The sequence below is a fragment of the Homo sapiens genome, chromosome 3 (assembly GCF_000001405.40).
Source record: "Homo sapiens chromosome 3, GRCh38.p14 Primary Assembly".
Taxonomy (NCBI): domain Eukaryota; kingdom Metazoa; phylum Chordata; class Mammalia; order Primates; family Hominidae; genus Homo; species Homo sapiens.
In genome coordinates, this window is record NC_000003.12 from 138,862,418 (window position 1) to 138,889,062 (window position 26,645).

General features: G+C 44.8%; 6 annotated features.

The window, feature by feature from the left end:
• Positions 352-893: an enhancer, noted in NCBI's record as "OCT4-NANOG-H3K27ac-H3K4me1 hESC enhancer chr3:138581611-138582152 (GRCh37/hg19 assembly coordinates)". NCBI's record gives its function as "activates a minimal SCP1, AML or CMV promoter by ChIP-STARR-seq in naive H9 embryonic stem cells {active_cell/tissue: H9 hESC(naive)}" and the evidence as "EXISTENCE:reporter gene assay evidence [ECO:0000049][PMID:30033119]".
• Positions 970-1,264: an enhancer, noted in NCBI's record as "tiled region #8152; K562 Activating DNase unmatched - State 5:Enh". NCBI's record gives its function as "activates a minimal TATA promoter and a strong SV40 promoter by Sharpr-MPRA in K562 cells {active_cell/tissue: K562}" and the evidence as "EXISTENCE:reporter gene assay evidence [ECO:0000049][PMID:27701403]".
• Positions 13,219-13,952: a transcriptional cis regulatory region, noted in NCBI's record as "candidate enhancer chr3.4087 targeted for multiplex CRISPR interference". NCBI's record gives its function as "positively regulates PIK3CB gene expression with high confidence in K562 cells {active_cell/tissue: K562}" and the evidence as "EXISTENCE:mutant phenotype evidence [ECO:0000015][PMID:30612741]".
• Positions 13,395-13,580: a silencer, noted in NCBI's record as "fragment chr3:138594654-138594839 (GRCh37/hg19 assembly coordinates)". NCBI's record gives its function as "represses an EF-1alpha promoter that drives an FKBP-Casp9 reporter gene in an ReSE screen in HepG2 liver carcinoma cells {active_cell/tissue: HepG2}" and the evidence as "EXISTENCE:reporter gene assay evidence [ECO:0000049][PMID:32094911]".
• Positions 16,768-17,647: an enhancer, noted in NCBI's record as "NANOG-H3K27ac-H3K4me1 hESC enhancer chr3:138598027-138598906 (GRCh37/hg19 assembly coordinates)". NCBI's record gives its function as "activates a minimal SCP1, AML or CMV promoter by ChIP-STARR-seq in naive H9 embryonic stem cells {active_cell/tissue: H9 hESC(naive)}" and the evidence as "EXISTENCE:reporter gene assay evidence [ECO:0000049][PMID:30033119]".
• Positions 17,648-18,526: an enhancer, noted in NCBI's record as "NANOG-H3K27ac-H3K4me1 hESC enhancer chr3:138598907-138599785 (GRCh37/hg19 assembly coordinates)". NCBI's record gives its function as "activates a minimal SCP1, AML or CMV promoter by ChIP-STARR-seq in naive H9 embryonic stem cells {active_cell/tissue: H9 hESC(naive)}" and the evidence as "EXISTENCE:reporter gene assay evidence [ECO:0000049][PMID:30033119]".

Here is a 26,645-nt window from a genome sequence, read left to right on the forward strand (position 1 = left end):
AAACTGTTTTTCTTCCCAACATTACTGTTTTCTTCCTTTCTGTCGAGTTTGTTGTTTTGTAATATCAGAATCTCCAGCTCACCTGAGTAAATGGTAACAAGGTGCCACCACCTTTGAATTCTCCCAGAATCCACCCCACCCTCCGTCAGAGCCACTGCCAAGGCACTCTTACTGATTTCTCCCACACTGCTGGCTCATTGCAAGTGGGAAGACAGCATGTGGAGTGGGTGTGCGGCTTATTAAAGTGAGAACTCAGGGTCAGGGCAGAACCAGGAAGAGAGCAGTGAGATATCCTGCTACCTAATCCAATTCTCCTTTTTGTGCATTTAGCACCCTCCCCTCCGCCTGCATAACAATGGAAGGAAAGAGGAAGTGGGAAAAAAGAAAGTCATGTAATTGAGTTAGAAGAGGTAATGACCAAGACCCTGGAGCAGAGGGAAAGCGGGTTACAAAAGGTGGGTTAAAGAAATCACAAGAGTATGAAGAGCTGGGAAATTACTAACAAATATTTGCTTGTGTGGGAAAGCAAAAAAGTAAAAACTTCAGTGCTGAATTGGGGCGCTGAGCCACCAGGGAAATTTGAGATTGGCATCAAGGACCGTGTTGAAGCAGGGTGGGCGGAGAAGGAGGGAAAACTACCAGCCAGCTGAGATTTTGCAGCTAGGCTGTGGCCTGATACCGAGTATCGATGCCGCAAGGGAGGGATGAGTCAGTCCTAGCACGTCCAAGTTTAGAATAATAGACTGTTTGCCACTGGGAAGGCAAACACCTTTCCTGTGAGAGGGCTTGCTGACAGTTCCAATGTCCAAAGTCCAATGCCGACCCAGAAAACTGAGGAGGCCCTGGCCCCTGCAGGAAGGGCTCATTTACATGGAGACTGAGTAAAGTGCTGTCTTAAACCCTCCTTCCTTCCCCCACTGGGAGGTTTCAGCCAGATATGCCACCCTTTGTAGGATTTCATAGGGTTGTCTAAAGCCAGGGTTGGCACAGAGCAGAAGCCACAGGGCTAAGTACCAGATTATAATTGTCAATGTCACACCTTACTGCAGAAGCCAGGGAAGGGAGCTAGGAAACTGAAGAGCTTTCTTGGTTATGGGCGGGGCTGTAAATGCAGAGTGTGCCCTGGTGACTCATGGGAGACAGTGAGAAACACTGTGGGGATCTGGTCAACCGGGTACTGATTCCTTTGAGGAAGGTATACTCCACATGCCAACCTGATACTCATGGCTAGTGAAGAGATGGCAGGATTGGGTTGCATCAGCCAGCCTAACTCGACTTGGAAACACAGAAAATAACCCAGAGCAGGTCTCAAGCACTGTGTAACTTTATTAGTTCATAGTGGCTGAACAGCCATGTTTAGGGCCTCTCAGAAGAAAGAGTTTCATCTTTGGGAAGAAATTTGTGTTGGGTGATTTTGTTCATATAATTTTGTGTTTTTTGTTTTGTTTTGGTGTTTGAGACAGGGCCTCACTCTCTCACACAGGCTGGAGTGCAGTGGCACCATCTTAGCTCACTGCAACCTCTACCTTCCTGCCTCAAGCGATCCTCCTACTTCAGCCTCCTGCATAGCTGGGACTACAGGCACGTATCACTCAACCCAGCTAATTTTTTTTTTTTCGAGATGCAGTCTTGCTCTGTCACCCAGGCTGGAGAGCAATGGCACTATCTTGGCTCACTGTAACCCCCGCCTCCCAGTCTCTGCCTCCTGAGTAGCTGGGATTACAGGCTCCTGCCACCACCCCCGGCTCAGCTAATTATTTCTTTCTTTCTTTTTTCTGAGATGAAGTTTCACTCTTGTTGCCCAGGCTGGAGTGCAATGGCACGATCTCAGCTCACTGCAATGTCTGCTTCTGGGGTTCAAGCAATTCTCCTGCCTCAGCCTCTCTAGTAGCTGGGATTACAGGCATCCGCCACCATGCCCAGCTAATTTTTTGTATTTTTAGTAGAGATGGGGTTTCTCCATGTTGGTCAGGCTGATCTCCAACTCCCGACCTCAGGCGATCTGCCCGCCTTGGCCTCCCAAAGTGCTGGGATTACAGGCGTGAGCCACTGCGCCCGGCCTGGCTCGGCTAATTTGCATATTTTTAGTAGAGATGGGTTTTCACCATGTTGGTCAGACTGGTCTTGAACTCCTGACCTCAAGTGATCCGCTCTCCTCGGCCTCCCAAAGTACTGGGATTACAAGCGAGAGCCACGGCGCCCCAGCCTGGCTAATTTTTAAAGGTTTTTGTAGAGATGGGATCTCCCTGTGTTCTCCAGGCTGGTCCCCAACTCCTGGGCTCAAGCAATCCTCCCACTTCAGGCTCCCAAAGTGCTGGAATTACAGGAATGAGCCACTGTGCCTGGCTTTATTTTCCTTACTGTTTAAACAACTTTTCTCTGCAATATATTTTTTCCTGTGCTGGTAGTTGGGACCATGGTAAGTCTTGCCTAGCCAAGAGGTCTCTTTGCCTGAATTTCATCACAGGTAAAGAGAAGGCTGTGAGTTCTCTTTTGTATAAACAGCAATGCTACTTTCCTTCTATATGTGCATACCATTTTTTTTTTTTTTTTTTTTGAGACGGAGTCTGGCTCTGTCACCCAGACTGGAGTGCAGTGGCGCGATCTTGGCTCACCGCAACCTCCACCTCCTGGGTTCAAGCGATTCTGCTGCCTCAGCCTCCTGAGTAGCTGGGTTACAGGTGCCCACCACCATGCCTGGCTAATTTTTGTATTTTAGTAGAGACAGGGTTTCACCATGTTGGCCAGGCTGGTCTTGAACTCCTGACATCAGGTGATCTGCCTGCCTTGGCTTCCCAAAGTGCTGGGATTGTGCACACCTATTTTAACAAAATAGAAATAACATCAAACTAGCCCCAAATGTAGTGCTGTAAACTACAACTATTTAACTTGCCATTCTGTGTCGGCATCAATTTGGGCTGGGCTCAACTGGGCATTTCTTTTGCCATTATAAACTAAGGTCATTCTGCTGTCTTCTGGTGCTGGATATGGAGTGGGTGGTGTTCAGCATACTATCTGGGCAGCTGGGTACCAAAAACAGGAAGAGGGCTGGGCACAGTGGCTTAGAACTGTAATCCAAGCACTTTGGGAGACTGAGGCAGGAGGATTGCTTGAGCCCAGGAGTTGGAGACCAGCCTAGGCAACATGGTGAAACCCCATTCCCACAAAAAAAAAAAAAAGAGAAAAGAAATGAAATGAAAATAATTAGCATGGTGGCATGTGCCTGTAGTCCCAGCTACTCAGGAAGCTGAGGCAGGAAGATTGCTTGAGGCCAGGAGTTTGAGGCTGCAGTGAGCTGTGATCCTGCCACTGCATTCCAGCCTGGGCAATAGAACAAGACCCTATCTCGAAAAATTTAAAAAATAGGCCAGGTACAGTAGCTTACACCTATAATCCCAGCACTTTGGGAGGCCGAGATGGGAGGTCACTTGAGGTCAGGAATTTGAGACTAACCTGGCCAACATGGTGAAACTTGTTGAAACATGTCTCTACTAAAAATACAAAATAATTACCTGGGCATGGTGGTGCATGCCTATAATCCCAGCTACCTGGGAGGCTGAGGCACAAGTATTGCTTGAACCTTGGAGGCAGAGGTTGCAGTGAGCCTAGATCATGCCACTGCACTCCAGCCTGGGTGACAGAACAAGACTCTGTCTCAAAAAAACAAACAAACAAACAAAAAAACAAAAAAAAAGAAAAAGAAAAAGAAAAATTAAAAAATAAGATAAAGCGGGCTGGGCGTGGTGGCTCACGCCTGTAATCCCAGCACTTTAGGAGGCCGAGGTAGGCAGATCTCGAGACCATCCTGGCTAACACAGTGAAACCGCATCTCTACTAAAAATACAAAAACTAGCCGGGCGTGGTGGCGGGCGCCTGTAGTCCCAGCTACTTGGGAGGCTGAGGCAGCAGAATGGTGTGAACCCGGGAGGTGGAGCTTGCAGTGAGCTGAGATAGCGCCACTGCACTCCAGCCTGGGCGACAGAGCAAGACTCTGTCTAAAAATTAATAATAATAAAATAAAAATAAAATAAAATAAAGCGGCCAGGCACGGTGGCTCACGCCTGTAATTCCAACACTTTGGGAGGCCAAGGCGGGCAGATCACGAGGTCAGGAGTTTGAGACCAGCCTGGCCAACATAATGAAACTCCATCTCTACTAAAAATACAAAAAATTAGCCTGGCATGGTGGCGGGCGCCTGTAATTTTAGCTACTCAGGAGGCTAAGGCAGGAGAATCACTTGAACCCAGGAGGTGGAGGCTGCAGTGAGCCGAGATCGCACCACTACACATCAGCCCAGGTGACAGTGGAAGATTCTGTCTCAAAAAAATAATAATAATAAAAATAAAAAATAAAAATAAATAAATAAAGCAAACGTCTCTTTGACCAGCTTAATCTCACAGGACCATTTTCGTTTCTTTTTGTTTTTTTTAGACAGGGGTCTCACTTTGTGTGCTAGAGTGCAGTGCCACCATCATAGCTCACTGTAGCCTTGAACTCCTGGGCTCAAGCTATCCTCCCACCTCAGCCCCCAGAGTAGCTGTGACTATTGGTGTGTGCCACCATGCCCAGCTAATCTTTAAAATTTCTTTTTTTTTTTTTTGAGAAGGAGTCTCGCTCTTGTCACCCAGGCTGGAGTGCAGTGGAGCAATCTGGGCTCATTGCAACCTCTGCCTCCCGGATTCAAGCAATTCTCCTGCCTCAGCCTCCTGAGTAGCTGGGATTACAGGTGCCCGCCACCACGTCTGGCTAATTTTTGTAGTTTTCGTAGAGACGGGGTTTCACCATGTTGGCCAGACTGGTCTCAAACTCCTGACCTCAAGTGATCCACCCGCCTCGGCCTCCCAAAGTGCTGGGATTACAGACGTGAGCCACCACGCCCGGGCTAAAATTTCTTTAATAGAGACAGTCTTGCTTTTTTGCCCAGGCTGGTCTCGAACTCCTGGCTTGAAGCAGTCCTCTTCCCTTGGCTTTCCAAAGTGCTGGTATTACAGGCATGAGCCATCGCACCCAACCCACAAGACCATTCTCTATTTCTGTAGTTGTAGCTGTTACTTTTGGCAGAGGGATCAATGATAATTAATTAGAAAGCCAAGTGCATGACCAGGGAAAAATCAACGCTGCAGACCTGTAGCCGTGTTGTTGGTGTGGCATAAATTGGGATCGTGGCAGTGTGCAGGCCAAACTTCTGGGTCTACTGACATTGAACAAAAAAACTCTTATTTTGCCAACCAAAGACAGAATGTGCTGACTGAGCCTTCTTTTTCACTTGAGACGGAGTCTCACTCTTGGTACCCAGGCTGGAGTACAGTGGTGTGATCTCAGCTCGCTGCAACCTCCCCCTCCTGGGTTCAAGTGATTCTCCTGCCTCAGCCTCCCAAGTAGCTGGGATTACAGGCACCTGCCACCATGCCCAGCTGATTTTTGTATTTTTAGTAGAGACAGAGTTTCGCCATGTTGGCCAGTTTGGTCTTGAGCCCCTGACCTCAGGTAATCCACCCGCCTTGGTCTCCCAAAGTATTGGGATTACCAGTGTGAGCCACCGCGCCCGGCCGACTGAGCCTTCTATACCAGGAAAACTGTATTATGTTTCTCTCTGATACAAAGGTTAGAATAACAATATGTGACCTTATAGCTCTGGGCACTAAGACTACACTATATTGGATATGAAAAAACAGATGTCCCTGCATTCAAGTGACACATTTTATTTGTCAAATTTATGTATCTTTGTGTAAAAGATGAAGGGGATTTTTTTAAAAACCAAAACCCAGACTTCCTGTCCTTAAGGAATTTATAATCCAGTTGGAGAAATAATGCCAGTCCAACTAGAGTTATGGATCTTAGAACTAAGGAATGTTTTATTTTGAAGGTTGCCTAGAGACCCACCTGGTCTGAAATTCCCTACCACAGTGGAACTCCCCCTACAAGGTACTCTGAAAATAGTCTTTTCAACTTTATACCAACGTTTCTCTGGGGAAGAAGCCACCATTAATTTAATTTTTCTTTTAATTTAGAAAAGTAATATATACTTAATGTGACACATTTAAACAATGTGGCAGAGTGAGTAAAAAAGTCAAACTTCACCTTGGAACTCTCGCTTCTGCTTCCCCACTGTCTGTGAAGGACTATCACAGATTGATGAGGATGACTATTTTCTATACTGTGCAAACACATACATGAAGATTTACACCCCACACTTTATTTTTGTTATTTATTTATTTATGTTTTGAGACAGAGTCTCGCCTGTCACCCAAGCTGGAGTGAAGTGGCTCGATGGCTCATTGCAACCTCCGCTTCCCGACACCTCATACTTTAAATTTTAATTTTTTTTTTTTTTTTTTTTGAGACGGAGTCTCTCTCTGTTGCCTGGGCTGGAGTGCAATGGCGCGATCTCGGCTCACTACAAGCTCCGCCTCCCGGGTTCACGCCATTCTCCTGCCTCAGCCTCCTGAGTATCTGGGACTACAGGCGCCCGCCACCACACCCGGCTAATTTTTTGTATTTTTAGTAGAGACGGGGTTTCACCGTTGTTAGCCACGATGGTCTTGATCTCCTGACCTCGTGATCTGCCCGCCTCGGCCTCCCAAAGTGCTGGGATTACAGGCGTTAGCCACCGCGCCCGGCCCAATTTTAATCTGTTTTTAAACTTAAATAACATGTGTGTAATATAAAAGTCAAATAGAATAAGAGAATATGGCCGAGACTGCCTCTCACAAAAAAATAAAAATAAAAAGCGAGAGCCCCCTCTCAAAAAAAAAAAAAAAATTAGAGAGAGAATACACAATGAAGAGAAAGTCTCTTTCGTCTCCTTCCTTTCCCTTCTGCGCCTTGGTTCTACTCCCCAACAGCAATCCCTGTTACTACTTCCATGTGTATCCTTCTGGAAATTGTCTATGCATTTACGATGCTTATAAGTTTATATATGTGTGTGTGTGTGTGTATATATATATATAAAATATATATATATATATATATTTTGAGACAGAGTCTCACTCTGTCACTCTGTCACCCTGGCTGCAGTGCAGTGGCACACTCTTGGCTCACTGCAACCTTCACCTCCTGGGTTCAAGCGATTCTCCTGCCTCAGGCTCCCTAGTAGCTGGGATTATAGGCCTCGTGCCACTAGGCCTGGCTAATTTTTGTACTTTTAGTAGAGATTGGGTTTCACCATGTTGGCCAGGCTGGTCTCCAACTTCTGACCTCAGGTGATCCACCCACCTTGGCCTCTCAAAGTGCTGGGATTACATGCGTGAGCCATCACGCTGAGCCCATATATATATATATATTTTTTTTTTTAGACTGAGTCTCACTCTGTCACCAGGCTGGACTGCAGTGTCGATCTTGGCTCACTGCAACCTCTGACTCCCGGGTTCAAGCGATTCTCCTGCCTCAGCCTCCCCAGTAGCTGGGATTACAGGTGCGTGCCACCATGCCTGGCTAATTTTTGTATTTTTAGTAGAGACGGGGTTTCACTGTGTTGGCCAGGATGGTCTCAATCTCCTGACCTCGTGATCTGCCTGCCTTGGCCTCCCAAAGTGTTGGGATTACAGGCGTGAGCCACCCCGCCCGGCCCACACCGAGCCTATTTTTTAAATGCAAGTATTAGCATACAATATATAATATTTTTCCCTTAATAATATATCTTAGGGCCTGGTGCAGTGGCCAACGCGTGTAATCCCAGCACTTTGGGAGGCCAAGGCAGGAAGATCAGTTGAGCCCAGGAATTCGAGACCAGCCTGGGCAATGTGGCGAATCCCCATCTCTACAAAACCGAAAATTAGCTGGGTGTGATGGCTGATGCCTGTAGTCCTAGTTACTCAGGAGGCTGAGGTGGGAGAATCACCTGAGCCCGTGAGGTTGAGACTTCGGTGAGCTGTGATCGGGCCACTGCACTCCAGCCTGGGTGGCAGAGTGAGATTCTGTCTCAAAAATAAACAAATAAAATAAAATAAGAAAAAAAAGGCTGGGCGCAGTGGCTCACGCCTGTAATCCCAGCATTTTGGGAGGCTGAGGAAGGCGGATCACTTGAGGTCATGAGTTTGAGATCAGTCTGGCCAATATGGTAAAACTCCGTCTCTACTAAAAATACAAAAATTAGTCAGGCCTGATGGCCTGAGCCTGTAGTCCCAGCTACCTGGGAGGCTGAGGCAGGAAAATTCCTTGAACCTGGGAGATGAAGTTTCAGTGAGCCGAGATTGTGCCACTGCACTCCAGCGTGGGTGACAGAGCAAGACTCTGTCTCAAAAAAAAAAAAAAAAAAGGAAAGAAAAGAAAGAGAGAAAAAATATATCTTAGACATCAAACCATTACATACAGTTGTTTTATTCATTTTAATAAGTGTATAGCATTTCATTGTATAGATATATCATTTAAGTCAATATCCTGTATATGAATATTTTGATGTTTCCAATTTTTTGCTATTACAAACAAGGCTGCAATGAATAACTGACTATACATCTTTTGTTTTCCATGAGTGTATGCAAACTTGCAGGATAAATACCTAAAGGCAGAATTGCTGGATCAAGGGGCATATTCATTTGTTATTTTGATAGACATTGCCAATTGCACTCAATAGAGGTTGTACCAATTTAAACTCCTTCCCTCAATGATGAGATACTTTTCCCCTATTTCTATCAGATTATTAATTATATTTGTTTTTAGCCTTTGTCAGTTTGGTAGGGCAAAAATTGTTACACCTAGCTGTTTTAATCTGCACTTCTTTTATTTTGAATGAAGCTGAATATTCTTTCGTAAACATAAGGATTGCTCATGTTAATTTTTCTGTACATTATCTGTTTATATCCTTTACCTGTTTTTCTATTTGCTATTTTTCTTTTCAATATATTTGTTGTATTTCACTTAATTTAAATTTAAGGCCGTGTGCAGTGGCTCACACCTGTAATCCCAGCACTTTGGGAGGCTGAGGCTGCCGGATCATTTGAGGTCAGTCACGGCAGTCACTTGAGACCAGCCTGGCCAACATGGTGAAACCCCGTCTCTACTAAAAATATAAAAATTAGCTGGATGTGGTGGTGGGTGCCTGTAATCCCAGCACTTTGGGAGGGCTAGGCAGTTAGATCACCTGAGATCAGGTGTTTGAGACTAGCCTGGCCAACATGGTGAAACCCTGTCTCTACTAAAAATAAAAAAATTAGTGAGGCATGCTGGCGCATGCCTGTAATCCCAGCTACTTGGGAGGCTGAGGCAGGAGAATAGCTTGAACCCAGGATGGGAGACAGAGGTTGCAGTGAGCCAAGATCACGCCACTGCAACTCCAGCCTGGGTGACAGAGAGAGACTGTTTCTCAAATAAATAAATAAATAAATTTAAAAAATTTCACCCAGTTTGTTACTTTTCTTATGACTTTGTTCATAATGTTTTTCTCCATGTGGGAATTAATATTTTTCTTTTATTTTTTGAGACAGAGTCTCGCTCTGTCGCCCAGGCTGGAGTGCAATGGCGCAATCTCAGTTCATTGCAACCTCCACCTCCCACGTTCAAGCAGTTCTCCTGCTTCAGCCTCTGTAGTAGCTGGGATTACAGGTACATGCCACCATTCCAGGCTAATTTTTTGTATTTTTTAGTAGAGGCAGGGTTTTACCATGTTGGCCAGGCTGATCTCAAACTCCTGACCTCAGGTAATCCACCTGCCTCGGCCTCCCAAAGTGTCGGGATTACAGGCATGAACCACCACGCCTGGCCCAAATATATATATATATATATATATATAATTTTTTTTTTTTTGAGATGGAGTTTCACTCTTGTTGCCCAGGCTGGAGTGCAATGGCTCAATCTCGACTCACTGAAACCTCCACCTCCTGGGTTCAAGTGATTCTCCTGCCTCATCCTCCCAAGTAGCTGCGATTACAGGTGCCCACCACCACGCCTGTCTAATTTTTTTTTTTTTTTTTTTTTGAGACGGAGTTTCACTCTCATTGCCCAGGCTGGAGTGCAATGGCTCGATCTCGGCTCACCGCAACCTCTGCCTCCCAGGTTCAAGGGATTCTCCTGCCTCATCCTCCCAAGTAGCTGGGATTACAGGCCTGCGCCACCATACCCAGCTAATTTTGTATTTTTAGTAGAGATGGGGTTTCTCCACGTTGGTCAGGCTGGTCTTGAATTCCCGACCTCGGGTGATCCACCCTTCTCAGCCTCCCAAATTGTTGGGATTATGAGCGTGAGCCACCATGCCCGACCTAATTTTTGTATTTTTAGTACAGAAGGGGTTTCACCATGCTGGTCTCGAACTCCTGACATCAGGTGATCCACCCCTGCTTTGCTAGGATTACAGGCATGAGCCACCACTTGAATCAATCTTCTTTCTTTCTTTCTTTCTCTTTCTTTTCTTTCTCTCGTTCTCTCTCTTCTTTCTTTCTTTTCTTTCTCTCTTTATTTTCTTCTTTCTTTCTCTTTCTCTCTCTCTTTCTTTCTTTTCTCTCTCTCTCTCTTTCTTTTCTTTTCTTTCTTTTTTTTTTTTGACAGAATCTCGATCTGTTGCCCAGGCTGGAGTGCAGTGGCACCATCTCAGCTCACTGCAACCTCCACCTCCTAGGTACAAGCAATCTTGTGCCTCAGCCTCCCGAGTAGCTGCAACTACAGGAGTGCCACCAAGCCTGGCTAATTTTTTGTATTTTTTGTAGAGACAGGGTTTCACCATGTTGGTCAGGCTGGTCTCGAACTCCTGAACTCAGGCAATCTGCCTGCCTCAGGCCTCCCAAAGTGCTAGTATTACAGGTGTGAGGCACTGCGCCTGGCCTATTAACATTTTCTTTGACCGCTTCTTATTTTATTTATTTATTTGTGTGTTTGCTTTACCATCCTGAGGAAAGCTTGTCCATAGCAAGATTGTATATATATAAAAATTTTTGACCGGGCATGGTGGCTCACACCTGTAATCCCAGCACTTTGGGAGGCCGAGGTGAGTGGCTCACCCACCTCGGTCAGGAGTTCAAGACCAGCCTGACCAACATGGAGAAACCTCGTCTCTACTAAAAATACAAAATTAGCCGGGTGTGATGGCACATGCCTGTAATCCCAGCTACTCTGGGAGGCTGAGGCAGGAGAATTGTTTGAATTTGGGAGGCAGAGGTTGCAGTGAGCCGAGATTGCGCCATTGAACTCCAGCATGGGCAACAAGAGCAAAACTCTGTCTCAAAAAAAATAAAATAAAATTCTCCCATGTTCTCATCTAGTACTTTTGTGCTTTCACTTTTCATATTTCAATCTTTCCTCCATGTAGAAAGTAAAAAGTTCCTCTTTAAACTTTCCCTTCTTGTTAAGGAATAAATCATAAGTGTTAGAAATAATAGTTTTTTTTTTAAAGACTAACTTCCTTTAAGCCTCCTTACTGTATGCTAATAACTTTTTGTTAGGCTCTATCCTACGTAGCTGTTAAACATGCTCACAGGCACGTAGTACATTCTATGTCCTTGTACCTTAAGCAAAATATTTGTGCTGGACATGCTCACAGGCACGTTCCAGCTCGCAGCCTATGCCCCTTCCTTATTTGGCATAAGCAATTTCCTCTTTTCCTTTGTCTTTCCATTCCTTTCACCTATTTAGAAAAGTTTTAAACTGTTAGCCAATCAGGTTTTAGTTTAGATTGTGTGGTCTGGCTCCAGCCAATGGAGACAGGACACAGTAGCAGGGACAAACTGCGTAAGGAATAAAAATTGCTTCCCTCCTTTGTTCAGGTATGCTTTCGCCATTATTCCATCGGCAATGAGCACCCTTTCTGCAGAAAGTAAAGATTGCCTTGCTAAGAGGATTAAATTTATGTTGAAGTGCTATTTCTTTGTGGCACCAGGGAACAAGCATTTACATGTAACGCTCCATAAGTAGTTTATTTTGATACAAAGCATGAAGTGTTGATCCAATTTACTTTTTTTCTAGATGGCTCTCCAGATTTCCCAACACCTTTGATTGAATAATCCATCTTTTTCTGCAGAAATAAAATATCACCTTCATAATATATTACATTTATTTATTTATTTATTTATTTATTTATTTATTTATTTTTGAGTTGGAGTCTTGCTCTGTTGCCCAGGCTGGTGTGCAGTGGTGCAATCTCGGCTCACTGCAACCTCCGCTTCCTGGGTTCAAGCAATTCTCCTGCCTCAGCCTCCGGAGTAGCTGGGATTACAGGCGTGAGCGTGAGCCACCATGCTCAGCTATTTTTTATATTTTTAGTAGAGACTGGGTTTTGCCATGTTGGCCATGCTGTTCTTACTTGAACTGCTGACCTCAGGTGATCTGCCCCCCTTGGCCTCCCAAAGTGCTGGGATTATAGGCATAAGCCACTGTGCCCAGCCTATACCCTACTATTTTAAGAGGCAGGAGAATTGCTTGAGGCCAGTAGTTCTAGACAAGCCTGGGCAACACAGTGAGACCCTGTCTCTACAAAAAAATTTTATAAAGTTAGCTGGGCATGGTGGTGTGAGCCTGTAGTTTCAGCTACTTGGGAGGCTGAGGTAGGAGGGTCACTGGAGCCCAGGAATTTGAGGCCACAGAGAGCTATGATTGCACCACTGTACTCAGGGCATCTATAGGATAATGGCTTATAGGAGATTCCAGCCTGGTCTACAGCAAAACTTAAAATTGTTTAAAAAATATTTTAATATTGACTATATTAAATATATAAATTTCTTGTGAATTGACATCTTTATAATATCGAGTCTTCTCAGCCAATATGCATATTTTCCTCCCTCTACCAATTTTTTTTTTTTAATAGGGTTTTGCTCTGTTTTCCAGGCTGGAGTGCAGTGACACTATCACAACTCACTGCCGCCTCGACCTCCTGGGCTCAGGTGATTCTCCTGCCTCAGCCTCCTGTATAGCTGGGACCACAGGCATGTGCCACCACACCCAGCTAATTTTTAAAATTTTTTGTTGAGGCGAGCTCTCACTTTGTTGCCCAGGTTGTTCTTGAACTCCCAGGTTCCAGTGATCCTCCCGCTTTGGCCTCCCAAAAAGTGCTGGGATTCCAGGAATGAGTCACTGCGCCCAGCCCACCTTGTTTTTTAAAAATTTATTTTTATTCTTAAACAACTTTTTTTTTTTTTTTTTTTTTTTTGTGGAGACAAGTTCTCGCTATGTTGCCCAGGCTGGTCTCAAACTCCTGGGCTCAAATGATCTGCCCAACTTGGCCTCCCAAAGTGTTGGGATCACAGGTGTGAGTCACTGTGACCAGCCTGTTTCATTCTCTTCTTTTTTTTTTTTTCATTCTCTTCTATTCCCAGATCCTTTATACAGTTCCCTGCACATTACAGGTAGGCACTCAATAAATATTTGTTAAATGAATAAGTGAATGGGATCCCTACTCTAGATCTTACAGGACATTTTTTTATGACCTCAGTTCTCGCGTTCCAAGATAACGTATCTTCACTTACGCATATCTCATAACCAGACTTCTTCTGAGTCCAATCAAAGGGATTCAGGAGCTGTTGTTTGGCCAGTTATGACTCCTGCTAACTGCCCTGTCTCCCACTTTTCCTCCTGGCCACAGAGACACCACGGGACCTTATCTACCCTCTTGCAGAATTTCAGATACACTGTGTCTCCAATATTCTCGGAAACCATCCAGTTTAGTAACCCTATCAGAAACGGAAATGAGTTTAGCTTGGCAGGAAATGAGGTCAGTTTGGCAACTGATAGTGAAACATTGAACAATGTAGGAGTTAGTGGTAGTTTGAGTTAATGCAAGTCATGTTGCAAGGAGGTGCAATAAGAAGATCAAATGGGCTGTGAGCTGTGCAGGGTAATTTGGGCTGAAAGAGGGAAGACCCCTGTAAACTGATGATTGTTTGCTTTGTGTGTACCTTGGGCAGGTGAGTGCATAGTGGAGGACTTCTGAGTCCTCCCAACCTAGATACAGATCTCTCAGGGCATCTATAGGAGAATAGCTTTGACTAAAATCAATTAGCGCCATATATTGGGCCTTTCATGCCCTGTGCTAAACATTTGTTATCTCTAGTCCTCCCAGTACCCCTGCTAAATGGGTAATAGTATCCATTTCACAAAGAATGGCACTGAAGTTTAAATTACTAAAGGATCTGCCCAAGGTCACAGAGCACAAATCTAGAGCTTTAATGAATTCCTTTCCAAGTAGACGTTGGTTTGAATCTATCTACTGGGGTATACAATGTGTGATCAATTCTGAAATATTACATTTAAGTCTTTGGAATTATTCTTGTTAATGGACCACATAACAGAAATGGAAGGGGGTCGGGCGCAGTGGCTCACGCCTGTAATCCCAGCACTCTGGGAGGCCAAGGCAGGCAGATCACCTGAGGTCAGGAGTTCGAGACCAGCCTGACCAATATGGAGAAACCCTGTCTCTACTAAAAATACAAAATTAGTCGGGCATGGTGGCACATGCCTGTAATTCCAGCTACTCGGGAGGCCAAGGTTGCGGTGAGCCGAGATAGCGCCATTGCACTCCAGCCTGGGCAACAAGAGCGAGACTCCATCTCAAAAAAAAAAAAAAAAAAAAAGAAGTAGAAGGGAAGAGTCAATGTAGAACTACAGAAAAAAATGTAGGATGGTTACCAAAGATGATCAGCATGTTCAAATTTTCATGTGTCATTTTCCATCAAAAGCTAATAAGCATAAAAGCTAATCAACAGAATATACCCATAAATGAAAATAATGATGCTGTTGATGTAGATGAGGGATACAGTTGTGTTCATTAACCTCCTGTTTTATCTACATCTTTCCTGAATTTATGGAAACAATGATGCATTTATAACCAGAAAGAACAGAAGCCAATTAGAATTATGATTCCACGTGGAAGACATTTAATATTTTAATTGCAGCCTCATATCTTCTCATTTCTTCTGGACATTCCCTCCTGTCCCTCCCTAGACCCGCAGTTCTGCACCAGGATGTTTGAATTGATACGAAAGGAAAGAGTGCAGTTCTTCTTGGGTGGGGTAGCTGGGAGATGTGGTCTGAAAACTGCCAACAGTTGTTCTTCCATTCACTTGTAGGAACTTGTCTGAGGGAGATCAGAGTTGATATCTAGAGGCTCTTTCTGTGGTTTGTCTAAGCTAGTTGAGTTGGATTTCTTTCACTTGCAGCCACTGGCCTTCTATGGTCTGTTTGTGGCTTACCCCCTTGATCTGTCTCCTCTGTGTGTGTTGATGTTGGTGTGTGAGTCTCTACTCATTCTTTCTTGGAGTCTCCCTCTTTGCCAGTTTCCTTCCCTATCAGCAATGTGTTCTTGGAAACTATAAGTTTTAATACTTACTTGGCTGAAATAAGGTTAATTCTACATTTTAAGTTGACCTCACTTTTTTTTTTTTTTTTTTGAGACAAGGTCTCACTCTGTTGCTCGGGCTGGAGTGTAGTAGAGTGATCGCTGCTCACTGCAGCCTCATCCTCCTAGCATCAAGTGATCCTCCCACTTCAGCCTCCCCAGTAGTTGGGACTACAGGAGCATGCCACTACACCTGGCTAATTTTTTCTTTTCTTTTTTCTTTTTTTTTTGAGATGGAGTCTCGCTCTGTTGCCCAGGCTGGAGTGCAGTGGCGTGATCTCGGCTCACTGCAAGCTCCGCCTCCTGGGTTCACGCCATTCTCCTGCCTCAGCCTCCTGAGTTGCTGGGACTACAGGCGCCCGCCACTAATTTTTTATATTTTTAGTAGAGACGGGGTTTCACTGTGTTAGCCAGGATGGTCTCGATCTCCTGACCTTGTGATCCACCCATCTCGGCCTCCCAAAGTGCTGGGATTACAGGCATGAGCCACCGCACCTGGCCACACCTGGCTAATTTTTTAATTTCATTTTTTTGTGGAGATGGGGCTGTCATCATGTTGTCCAGGCTTGTCTCAAACTCCTGACCTCAAGTGATCCTCCCACCTCAGCCTCCCAAAGTGCTGGGATTAGAGTCGTGAGCCACTGTGCCCGGCCAGGGAGAGTGTGTTTCTGTTGGAAGGATCCTCCAAGGACATCTGCAGTTTTTTCAATGTGAGGACAGATACCTGTATTAATTAATTAATTCGTTCTCAGGAACTATTTTTTTCACTAAAAGGTGAATATAAAGGTAATTTACCATAAAATTATCACACAATACACTTCAAAATCAAATATATTAATGGAGTCATTATTTAGATTATTTTTGCCTTTTCTCCACTTCCTTGGTGGGAATGATCAGATTTGACTACAGAAACTCAATACCTTTGCCACCAACCACAAACATTGGTGGCACTCCTTAGTATAGTAGGAGAACTGAGGGTGTAAAGAGGTGGCAGGTTTCTGGCCTCATAGAGACCTTGGCCATTCCAAAGATGAATCTTTTTTTATTTTTTGAGACTATGTCTTGCTCTGCCACCAGGCTGGAGTGCAGTGGCATAATCTTGGCTCACTGCAATCTCCGTCTCCTGGGTTCAAGTGATTCTCCTGCCTCAGCCTCCCAAATATCTGGGATTACAGGCACAAGCCACCACACCTGGCTAATTTTTGTATTTTTAGTAGAAACGGGGTTTCACCATGTTGGCTAGGCTGGTCTCGAACTCCTGACCTCAAGTGATCCACCCGCCTTGGCCTCCCAAAGTGCTGGGATTACAGGCATGAGCCACCATGCCTGGCCTCAAAGATGAATCTTATTGCCATAGTTTTTTATTTATAAGTCAGCATCTGTTTGCTAAAGGAGCTTTCTGGGGCTCAAGCAATCCTCCCGCCTCAGCCCCTTGAGTAGCTGGGACTACAGGTACAGGCCACCATGCTTTACTATTATTTTTTAAAAATGTTTTTGTAGAGACAGGGTTTCCTTATATTGCCCAGGCTGGTCTCAAATTCCTGGGGTCAAGCAGTACATTCACCTTGATCTTCCAAAGTGCTAGGATTACAGGTGTGAGCCACCACACCCAGCCTCCTTCTTGACTCTTATACTCCAAATATTTTGTTTGTTTGTTTTATTTTGAGATGTGGTCTTGTTATGCTGCCCAGGCTAATCTCAAACTCCTGGTCTCAAGCAATCCTCCTCCCTTGGCCTCCCAAGTAGCTGGGATTATAGGCATAGGCCATTGTGCCTAGTTTACCCTCAATATTTATAATTTATCAATGGATTCTTTTTTATTTTTATTTTTTGTAGGAAGAGATGGAATCACACTAATTTGTGCAGGCTGGTCTCAAACTCCTGGCCCTAAACTATCCTCCTGCCTTGTCTTCTCAAAGTGCTGAGATTACAGGTGTGAGCCACTGCACCTGGCCTATCAGTGGATTCTTATCCCATTCTATGCAGGATCCCGATTGGATTAAATTCAGATACTAATCCAACTGGTGGCTCTTGAGCCCTGTCGCCTATGCATAGGGCTCTGCTCATCAGTTGTGCTGGTGCTGTTCTGTGCAGGTGTGGCCGGGACCTGGGAGGATGCTGCAAGTAGATTTCAGGTTGAGACCCATGCCCAAGTTTGACCTGCTCCTATTGCTCATTGTTTAAGTTTAAAGGAGCATTGTTTAAACTCCCTTCTAAACCAGCAGTGTGGATTTTGCCTTGGTGTAGACTCAAGATATTCCTGACTGGGTTTCAGTGACAGGAGAACTCCCTCTTTCCAGCTCACACTGCCTTGCCACCCAGACAGAGGGATCAAAGTTCAGTCTATGTGACTGAACTAATTTGTGATTGTGTTTTGAGTAGTTGTTTCGACAATCAAAGTCAGCCTTAGCCCCGCATTGAACTTCTCACATGCTAAAAAGCGTCTGACACTCACAGCACCAGGTGGTAGTGGCTCCTGCTGGGCCATTCCCCTGCCTTACAGGTTAGGATCTGGAGTTTCAAGCTAGCGCTCAGCAAAGGAGAGTCCCAGAGCAATGAGGCATTGACTTTTACCCAGAGGCATAGCCTGAAGGAAGACAGTGACTTCAGGCTGGGCGCGGTGGCTCTCGCCTGTAATCCCAGCAATCTGGGAGGCTGAGGCGGGTGGATCACAACGTCAGGAGATCGAGACCATCCTGGCTAACACGGTGAAACCCCGTCTCTACTAAAAAATACAAAAAATTAGCCGGGCGTGGTGGCGGGCGCCTGTAGTCCCAGCTACTCGGGAGGCTGAGGCAGGAGAATGGCGTGAACCTGGGAGGCGGAGGTTGCAGTGAGCCAAGATCACGCCACTGCACTCTAGCCTGGGTGACAGAGCGAGACTCCATCTCAAAAAAAAAAAAAAAAAAAAAAGATAGTGACTTCAATGGAGGAGGGAGAATTCCAGACTAGATAACTTATTTGGGTAGAAAACCAAAGTGCGGAAAGAAGGATAAACACAATTTGAATACTATTCCGTCTGCATCTCAGCTAAGTTAAAAAGTAGTTATACAAAGAAAAGGAGCTGAAAATATTTCATTTAAAAATCTTGACAGAGGTTTTCTCCTAATGATGGGATTACAGCTGATTTGTCTTTATATTCTTTTGTATTATATTCTATTGTTTTGATTTGTCTTTATATTCTTTTGTATTATCTTACTACTCTCTATTACCTTTACCTATTTGAAATTGTTTTACAAATTACAAAAATATTATAATATAGGCTTATTGTAAAATTTTCAAATCACACAGAAAAATACATATGGAAAGTAAGGCTGGGTGCGGTGGCTGACACCTGTAATCCCAACACTTTGGGAGGCCAAGTTGGGTGGATCACTTGAGGTCAGGAGTTTGAGATCAGCCTGGCCAACATGGTGAAACCCTGTCTCTACTAAAAATATAAAAATTAGCCAGGCATGCTGGCACATGCCTGTAATCCCAGCTACTCGGGAGGCTGAGGCAGGTGAATCACTTAAACCTGGGAAGTGGAGGTTGCAGAGAGCCAAGATTGTGCCACTGCACTCCAGCCTGGGCCACAGAGTGAGACTCCATCCCAAAAAAAAAAAAAAAAAAAAAAAAAAATAGAAAGAAAGAAAGTGAAAGTGTCACTTCACCCAAGAGTCAACAGCATTCAATGCCAGTCAATACCAAGGTATAACCACTGATAAAAATTTATTGTGGCTGGGTGAGGTGGCACATGCCTGTAATCCCAGGATTTATAAGAGCTGATTCAGGCAGATCACTTGAGCTCTCAGGAGTTGGAGACCAGCCTGGGCAACGTGGCAAAACCCAGTCTCTACAAAAATTAGCTGGGTGTGGTGGTGTGTGCCTGTAGTCCCAGCTACTTAGGAGGCTGAGGTGGGAGGGCAGCTTGAGCCCAGGAGGCAGAGATTGCAGTGAGCCGAGATTGTGCCACTGCTCTTTAGTCTGGGCAACAGAGCCAGATCCTGTCTCAAAAAAACAAAAAACTCATTGTGTGTATACATGCATGTGTACATTTAAATAAGGATAAGTATATTTAAACATCATTTTTTTTTCTCCTAGCATTATGTATTAAAGATCTATTAATGTCAGCTCTCCAGCCTGGGCAACAGAGCCAGATCCTGTCTCAAAAAAACAAAAAATTCATTGTGTGTATACATGCATGTGTACATTTAAATAAGGTTAAATATATTTAAACATTATCAATTTTTTTCTCCTAGCACTATGTATTGAAGATCTATCAATGTCAGCTCTATCTCATTCTTTTTAAAATTTATTTTATTATTATTATTATTATATTTTGAGACACAGTCTGGCTCTGTCGCCCAGGCTGGAGTGCAATGGTGGGATCTCGGTTCACCGCAACTTCTGCCTCCCAGGTTTAATCAATTCTCCTGCCTCAGCCTTCCAAGTAGCTGAGACTACAGGCACGCGCCACCATACCCAGCTAATTTTTGTATTTGTATTTGTATTTGTATCTTATTTTATTTTATTTTTGAGTTGGAGTCTTGCTCTGTCACCCAGGCTGGAGTGCAATGGCACGATCTTGGCTCACTGCAACCTCCGCCTCCCAGGTTCAAGAGATTCTTCTACTTCAGCCTCCCGAGTAGCTGGGACTATAGGTGCGCGCCACCACATCTGGCTAATTTTTTGTATTTTTAGTAGAAACGGGGTTTCACTGTGTTAGCCAGGATGGTCTCGATCTCCTGTCCTCATGATCCGCCTACCTTAGTCTCCCAAAGTGCTGGGATTACAGGTGTGAGCCACCGCACCCAGCCAGTTTTTGTATTTTCAGTAGAGACGCAGTTTCACCATGTTGGCCAGGATGGTCTTGATGTCTTGACCTTGTGATCCGCCAGCCTTGGCCTCCCAGAGTGCTGGGATTACAGGCGTGAGCCACTGCACCCAGCCTCATTATTTGGTTTTTTTGAGACAGAGTCACACTCTGTTGCCCTTGCTGGAGTGCAGTGGTGTGATCTCGGCTCACTGCAACCTCCGCCTCCCGGACTCAAGTGATTCTCTCCCCTCAGCCTCCCAAGTAGCTGGGATTACAGGTTTGTGCCACCACATCTGGCCAATTTTGTTGTTGTTTTTGAGACAGAGTCTGGCTCTGTCGCCCAGGCTATAGTGCAGTGGTGTGATCTCGGCTCACTGCAACCTCTGCCTCCCGGGTTCAAGCGATTCTCCCGGGTTCAACCCTCCCGGGTTCAAGCGATTCTCCTGCCTCAGCCTCCCAGGTAGCTGGGACCATGGAGGCGAGCACCACCATGCCCAGCTAATTTTTGTATTTTTAATAGAGTTGGGGTTTCACCATATTGGCCAGGCTGGTCTCGAACTCCTGACCTTGTGATCCACCCACCTCGGCCTCCCAAAGTGCTGGGATTACAGGTGTGAGCCATTGCGCCTGGCCGTTACACCTGGCTAATTTTTGTATTTTTAATTAAGAAGGGGTTTCACCATGTTAGCCAGGCTTGTCTCGAACTCCTGGCCTCAAGCTATCTGCCCACTTTGGCCTCCCAACATGCAGGGATTACAAGTGTGAGCCACCGCACCTGCCCTCATTCTTTTTTTCACTATTTTCCTGACATTCAATAGCTCATTCTTTTAAATTGCTGCTTAGTCTTTTATAGCATGAATGTATTATAATTTGATTAAATTGCTTATCAATGAATATAGAGGTCATTCCCAATCTTTTGTAATTACAGTCTATTCTGTATTCGAAATTATTGCATGTACTTCCCTGTATACATGTGTGTTTCTTCAGGATCAATTTAGAGAAGTGGAAGTTATGGGCCCAAGGTATATGCAGTTAAATTCTGGACATAACTTGCCAAATTGCTCTTCCAAAGGCCCACCAATTTATTTTCTGCTCAACAATAAGAAAGAGTGATCATTCTTCCACAGCTTGCCAGTAATAAATATTACTATATTTAAAAATTATTGATAATTCTACTTGCCCCGATGATATTATGTTGTTTTAATTAATATTTCTCTATTTTTTTTTTTTTTTTTGAGACAGAGCCTTGCTCTGTGGCTAGGCTGGAGTGCAGTGGTGCAATCTTGGCTCACTGCAACCTCAGCCTCCTGGGTTCAAGTGATTGTCCTGCCTCAGCCTCCCAAGTAGCTGGGATTACAGGCGTGTGCCATCACACCCAGCTAATTTTCGTATTTCTTTTTTTGAGACGGAGTTTCGCTCTTGTTGCCCAGGCTGGAGTGCATTGGTGCAATCTCATCTCACCGCAGCCTCCGTCTCCCGGGTTCATGCGATTCTCCTGCCTCAGCCTCCCGAGTAGCTGGGATTACAGGCATGCGCCACCACTCCTGGCTAATTTTGTATTTTTAGTAGAGACGGGGTTTCTCCATGTTGGTCAGGCTGGTCTCGAACTCCCAGCCTCAGGTGACCCACCCACCTTGGCTTCCCAAAGTGCTGGGATTACAGGCGTGAGCCACCACACCTCGCTTAATTTTTGTATTTTTAGTAGAGACGGGGTTTCACCATGTTGGCCAGCCTAGTCTCAAACTCCCGACCTCAGGTGATCCGCCTGCCTCAGCAGCCCAAAGTGCTGGGATTACAGGTGTGAGCCGCTGCGCCCAGCCCACATTTCTCTATTACTAGTAAGAATGAGTAACTTTTTGTATCCTTATTAAATGTTTATATCTCTTCTATAAATTAAACCTTTATTGTCTTTTGTTTGTCACTGTCTTTCTTTTCTTTTCTTTTTCTTTCTTTCTTTTTTTTTTTTTTTTTGAGATGGAACCTTGCTCTGTCACCCAGGCTGGACTGCAGTGGCACGATCTTAGCTCATTGCAACCTCCGTCTCCTAGGTTCAATTGATTCTCCTGCCTCAGCCTCCTGAGTAGCTGGGATTACAGGCACTTGCCACCACGCTCAGCTAATTTTTGTATTTTTACTAAAGATGGGGTTTTACCATGTTGGCCAGGCTAGTCTCAAACTGCTGACCTCAGGTGATCCGCCCACCTCAGCCTCCCAAAGTGCTGAGATTACAGGCATGAGCCAGTGTGCCTGGCTTTAATTTTATTTCTAAATATTTGATTGCCCCGTACCATGCCATGAACACTCATTCCATTTCACTGATTTGAGAATTCCATTTTTAAAATTTTTTTTTGAGATGGAGTTTTGCTCTCGTTGCCCAGGCTGGTGTTCAACTGCACGATCTCGGCTCACCACAACCTCCGCCTCCTGGGTTCAAATGATTCTCCTGCCTCACCCTCCTGAGTAGCTGAGATTACAGGCATGTGCCGCCATGCCTGGCTAATTTTGTATTTTGAGTAGAGACGGGGTTTCTCCATGTTGGTTATGCTGGTCTCGAACTCCTGACTTCAGGTGGTCCGCCCGCCTTGGCCTCTCAAAGCGCTGGGATTACAGGCGTAAGCCACCGCAGCCGGCCTTTGTTTTTCTTTTTCTTTTCTTTCTTGTTCTGTTTTTTTTTTTTTTTTTTTTTTTTGAGACGGAGCCTTGCTGTCTCCCAGGCTGGAGTGCAGTGGCATGATCTCGGTTCACTGCAAGCTCCGCCCCCCGGGTTCACACCATTCTCCTGCCTCAGCCTCCTGAGTAGCTGGGACTACAGGTGCCCGCCACCACGCCCGGCTAATTTTTTTTTTTTGTATTTTTAGTAGAGACAGGGTTTCACTGTGTTCACCAGAATGGTCTCGATCTCCTGACCTCGTGATCCACCTGCCTTGGCCTCTCAAAGTGCTGGGATTACAGGCGTGAGCCACCGCGCCCAGCCTGTTTTTCTTTTTTTTCAGACAGGGTCTCGCTCTGTTGCTCGGGCTGGAGCGTAGTGGTTTGATCATAGCTCACTGCAACCTCAACCTCCTTGGCTCAAGGAGGTCTCAGTCTCCCGAGTAGCTGAGACTACAGATGGCAGGTCACCATGTCTGGCTAATTTTTAATTTTTTTATAGAAGCAGAGTTTCATTATATTGCCCAGGCTGGAAAAATTCCATCTTTATTATAGACAAAATATTTTCATATATAAAATAATATGTTTTTGGATTTTCTATTCATTTCCATTCATTTGTTTATCCATGCAATGATGTCATATTGTGTAGATTACTATTGCTTTTTACTATGATTTGCTATCTGATAAGGCAACTTGCTTCATTATTGATTATTTTCCAAAATGTTCTTTGCTGTGCTCGCACATTTTCAATTCAAATCTTGAGAATCAGATAAGCTTGAGGATGACCATATGATAATTACAAGAGATGTCAAAAAAGCATCTGATGAGCTGCGCGCCGTGGCTCACACCTGTAATCCCAGCACTTTGGGAGGCTGAGGTGGGCGGATCACGAGGTCTGGAGTTCCAGACCATCTTGGCCAACATGGTGAAACCTCGTCTCTACTAAAAATACAAAAAACGAGCTGGGCATGGTGACATGCGCCTGTAGTCCCAGCTACTCGGGAAGCTGAGGCAGGAGAATCGCTTGAACCCGGGAGGTGGAGGTTGCAGTTAGCCCAGATCGTGCCACTGCACTCCAGCCTGGTGACAGAGCAAGACTCTGTCTCACAAAAAAAAAAAAAAAAAAAAAAAGGCATCTGATGAAATTGAACATCTGTAATATGAAAATATTTTGCAATTGTTTTATTTTAAAAAGAAGAAGAAGAAAAAGAAACAAAAACACAGGTCTTGAAGGATACACATGTAACTGCTAATTTTTGTATCAGGAGAGGAATAGGAGTTTAGGGCTCTAGTAGCTACTGTGGTGTGTTCTCTAGATGCCCCTCTTTAGTACAAACCACTTATTCCAGTTGCCAGGAATGTTGCCTGCTGACAGCTTACTGTATAGTGCCTCGCCAGACTGCGATTTTAGTTGTGGGTAGCTGCTTTGCGAAGTTTAAGTTCCTGCCTAAGGACAGATTGCATCCAATGACTGAATATTATGGGATATAAATGCATCTCCCCTTTGCCTCAGTTTGGGACAATTCTGAATGGCCATCCTAGCTTCAGAGCTCCCTGAAGGACTGCTGAAGCCTCTGTTGCAACTGCATCACAACCTAACTTCTCTCTGTGCCAGATCTTGCTTTTCTCACTGCCTTACACGTTTCTAAGAGCATTTGCCAATGAACCATCCGCACACAAGTTTGTTCCAGAGTCTATTTCCTGGGGTTCCTGGCCTACAATGGGCAATAATGATTGGGTGGTGAGGAGAGATGAGTTTTTCACATTTTGCTGTCTTAAGCAAACTTGAATAGTTTTTAAGAATCTATTATATCACTTTATTTTATTTATTTATTTATTTATTTATTTATTTAATTTTTTGAGACAAAGTTTTGCTCTTGTTGCCCAGGCTGGAGTGCAATGGCGCAGTCTCGGCTCACTGCAACCTCTGCCTTCCGGATTCAAGTGATTCTCCTGCCTCAGCTTCCCAAATAGCTGGGATTACAGGGGCCTGCCACCACACATGCCTACTTTTTGTTGTTGTTGTTGTTAGACAGAGTCTTGCTGTGACACCCAGTCTGGAGTGCAATGGCGAGATCTCAGCTACTGCAACCTCCGCCTTCCAGGTTCAAGTGATTCTCCTGCCTCAGCCTCCCGAGTAGCTGGGATTACAGGCACGCGCCATCATGCCTGGCTAATTTTTGTATTTTTAGTAGAGACGGGGGTTTCACCATGTTGGCCAGGGTAGTCTCAATCTCCTGACCTCGGGTGATCCACTTGCCTCAGCCTCCCAAAGTGCTGGGACTACAGGCGTGAGCCACCATGCCTGGCCCTAATTTTTGTGTTTTTAGTAGAGATGGGGTTTCACCATGTTGGCCAGGCTGGTCTCGAATTCCTGACCTCAGGTGATATGCCTGCTTTGGCCTCCCAAAGGGCTGGGATTACAGGTGTGAGCCACTATGCCCAGCCTATTATATCTTTTATATCACTTTAAATTTGTGTTATCTTTTTTTTTTTTTTGAGACATTGTCTTGCTGTGTTGCCCAGGCTGAAGTCCAATGGCACGATCACAGTCACTGCAGCCTCAACCTCCTGGGCTCATGCAATCCTCCCACCTCAGCCTCCTGAGCAGCTGGTACTGCAGGTGCTGCCACCATGCCTGGCTAATTTTTGTTTTTTTGTTTTTTTTTTGTAGAGATGGGGTTTCGCTATGTTACCCAGCCTAGGTGCTTAAATATTACCAACAAGTAGAAAACATAACAACAAAGTTATAGTGACTTTTAAATTTTAATTTAATTTTGTTATTATTATTATTACTATATATATATATATATTTTTTTTTTTTTTTTTTTTTTGAGATGGAGTCTTGCTCTGTCCCCAGGGTGGAGTGCAGTGGTGCGATCTAGGCTCGCTGCAACCTCTGCCTCCCGGGTTCAAGCGGTTCTCCTGCCTCACCCTCCTGAGTAGCTGGAACTCCAGGCACGTGCCACCACGCCCAGCTAATTTTTGTATTTTTAGTAAAGACAGGGTGTACCATGTTGGCCAGGATGGTCTCAATCTCTTTTTTTTTTTTTTGAGACAGAGTCTCACCTATCGCTCAGGCTGGAGTGCAATGGCGTGATCTCAGCTCACTGCAACCTCCGTCTCCTGGGTTCAAATGATTCTCCTGACTCAGCCTCCCGAATAGCTGGGATTACAGGTGTACACCACCATGCCCGGCTAATTTTTTGTATTTTTAGTAGAGATGGAGTTTCACCATGCTGGCCAGGCTGGTCTCGAACTCCTGACTTCGTGATCCGCCTGCTTCAGCCTCCCAAAGTGCTGGGATTACCAGCGTGAGTGACCACACCCGGCCGGTGTCGATCTCTTGACCTCATGATCCACCTGCCTTGGCCTCCTAAAGTGTTGGGATTACAGGCATGAGCCACTGTATTATTTTTTTTCTAAGAGACAGGGTCTCCCTATGTTGTGTAGGCTGGTCTTGAACTCCTGGGCTCAAGGGATCCTCCTGCCTTGGCCTCCTACAGTGCTAGCATTACAGGCGTGAGACACCATGCACAATCTATGTTGTAGAAACTTTAAAAAAAGAAACCCTCATGTCCTGCCCACATTCCCACTCAACAGTCTCACTACTGCAGTACAAGAGTCATTTTATTTCTACATACTTCCCTTCAGCAGGGATCATATACAGTCATATTTTTGCCTGGCTTGCTGTGGTGGAAAGTTTCACATGGTAATACAATCATTTATCATAAAGGTGAATTTTTCACTGCTCTATAAAGATGACTAAAGAAAGCAAGGTATAGCTGAACCAGAACGGGCATTCAGAAAACTCTGACAGCTGTTGTCCCAGCCTTGGGTCTAAAACAGGTTAACTTAGTTGTATCTTCTGTAAAAGGAAATTACTGGAGGAAGTTTGCTTAACATAACACAGCCTCTTAGCCAAAGCACCAGAACTGAAAACTA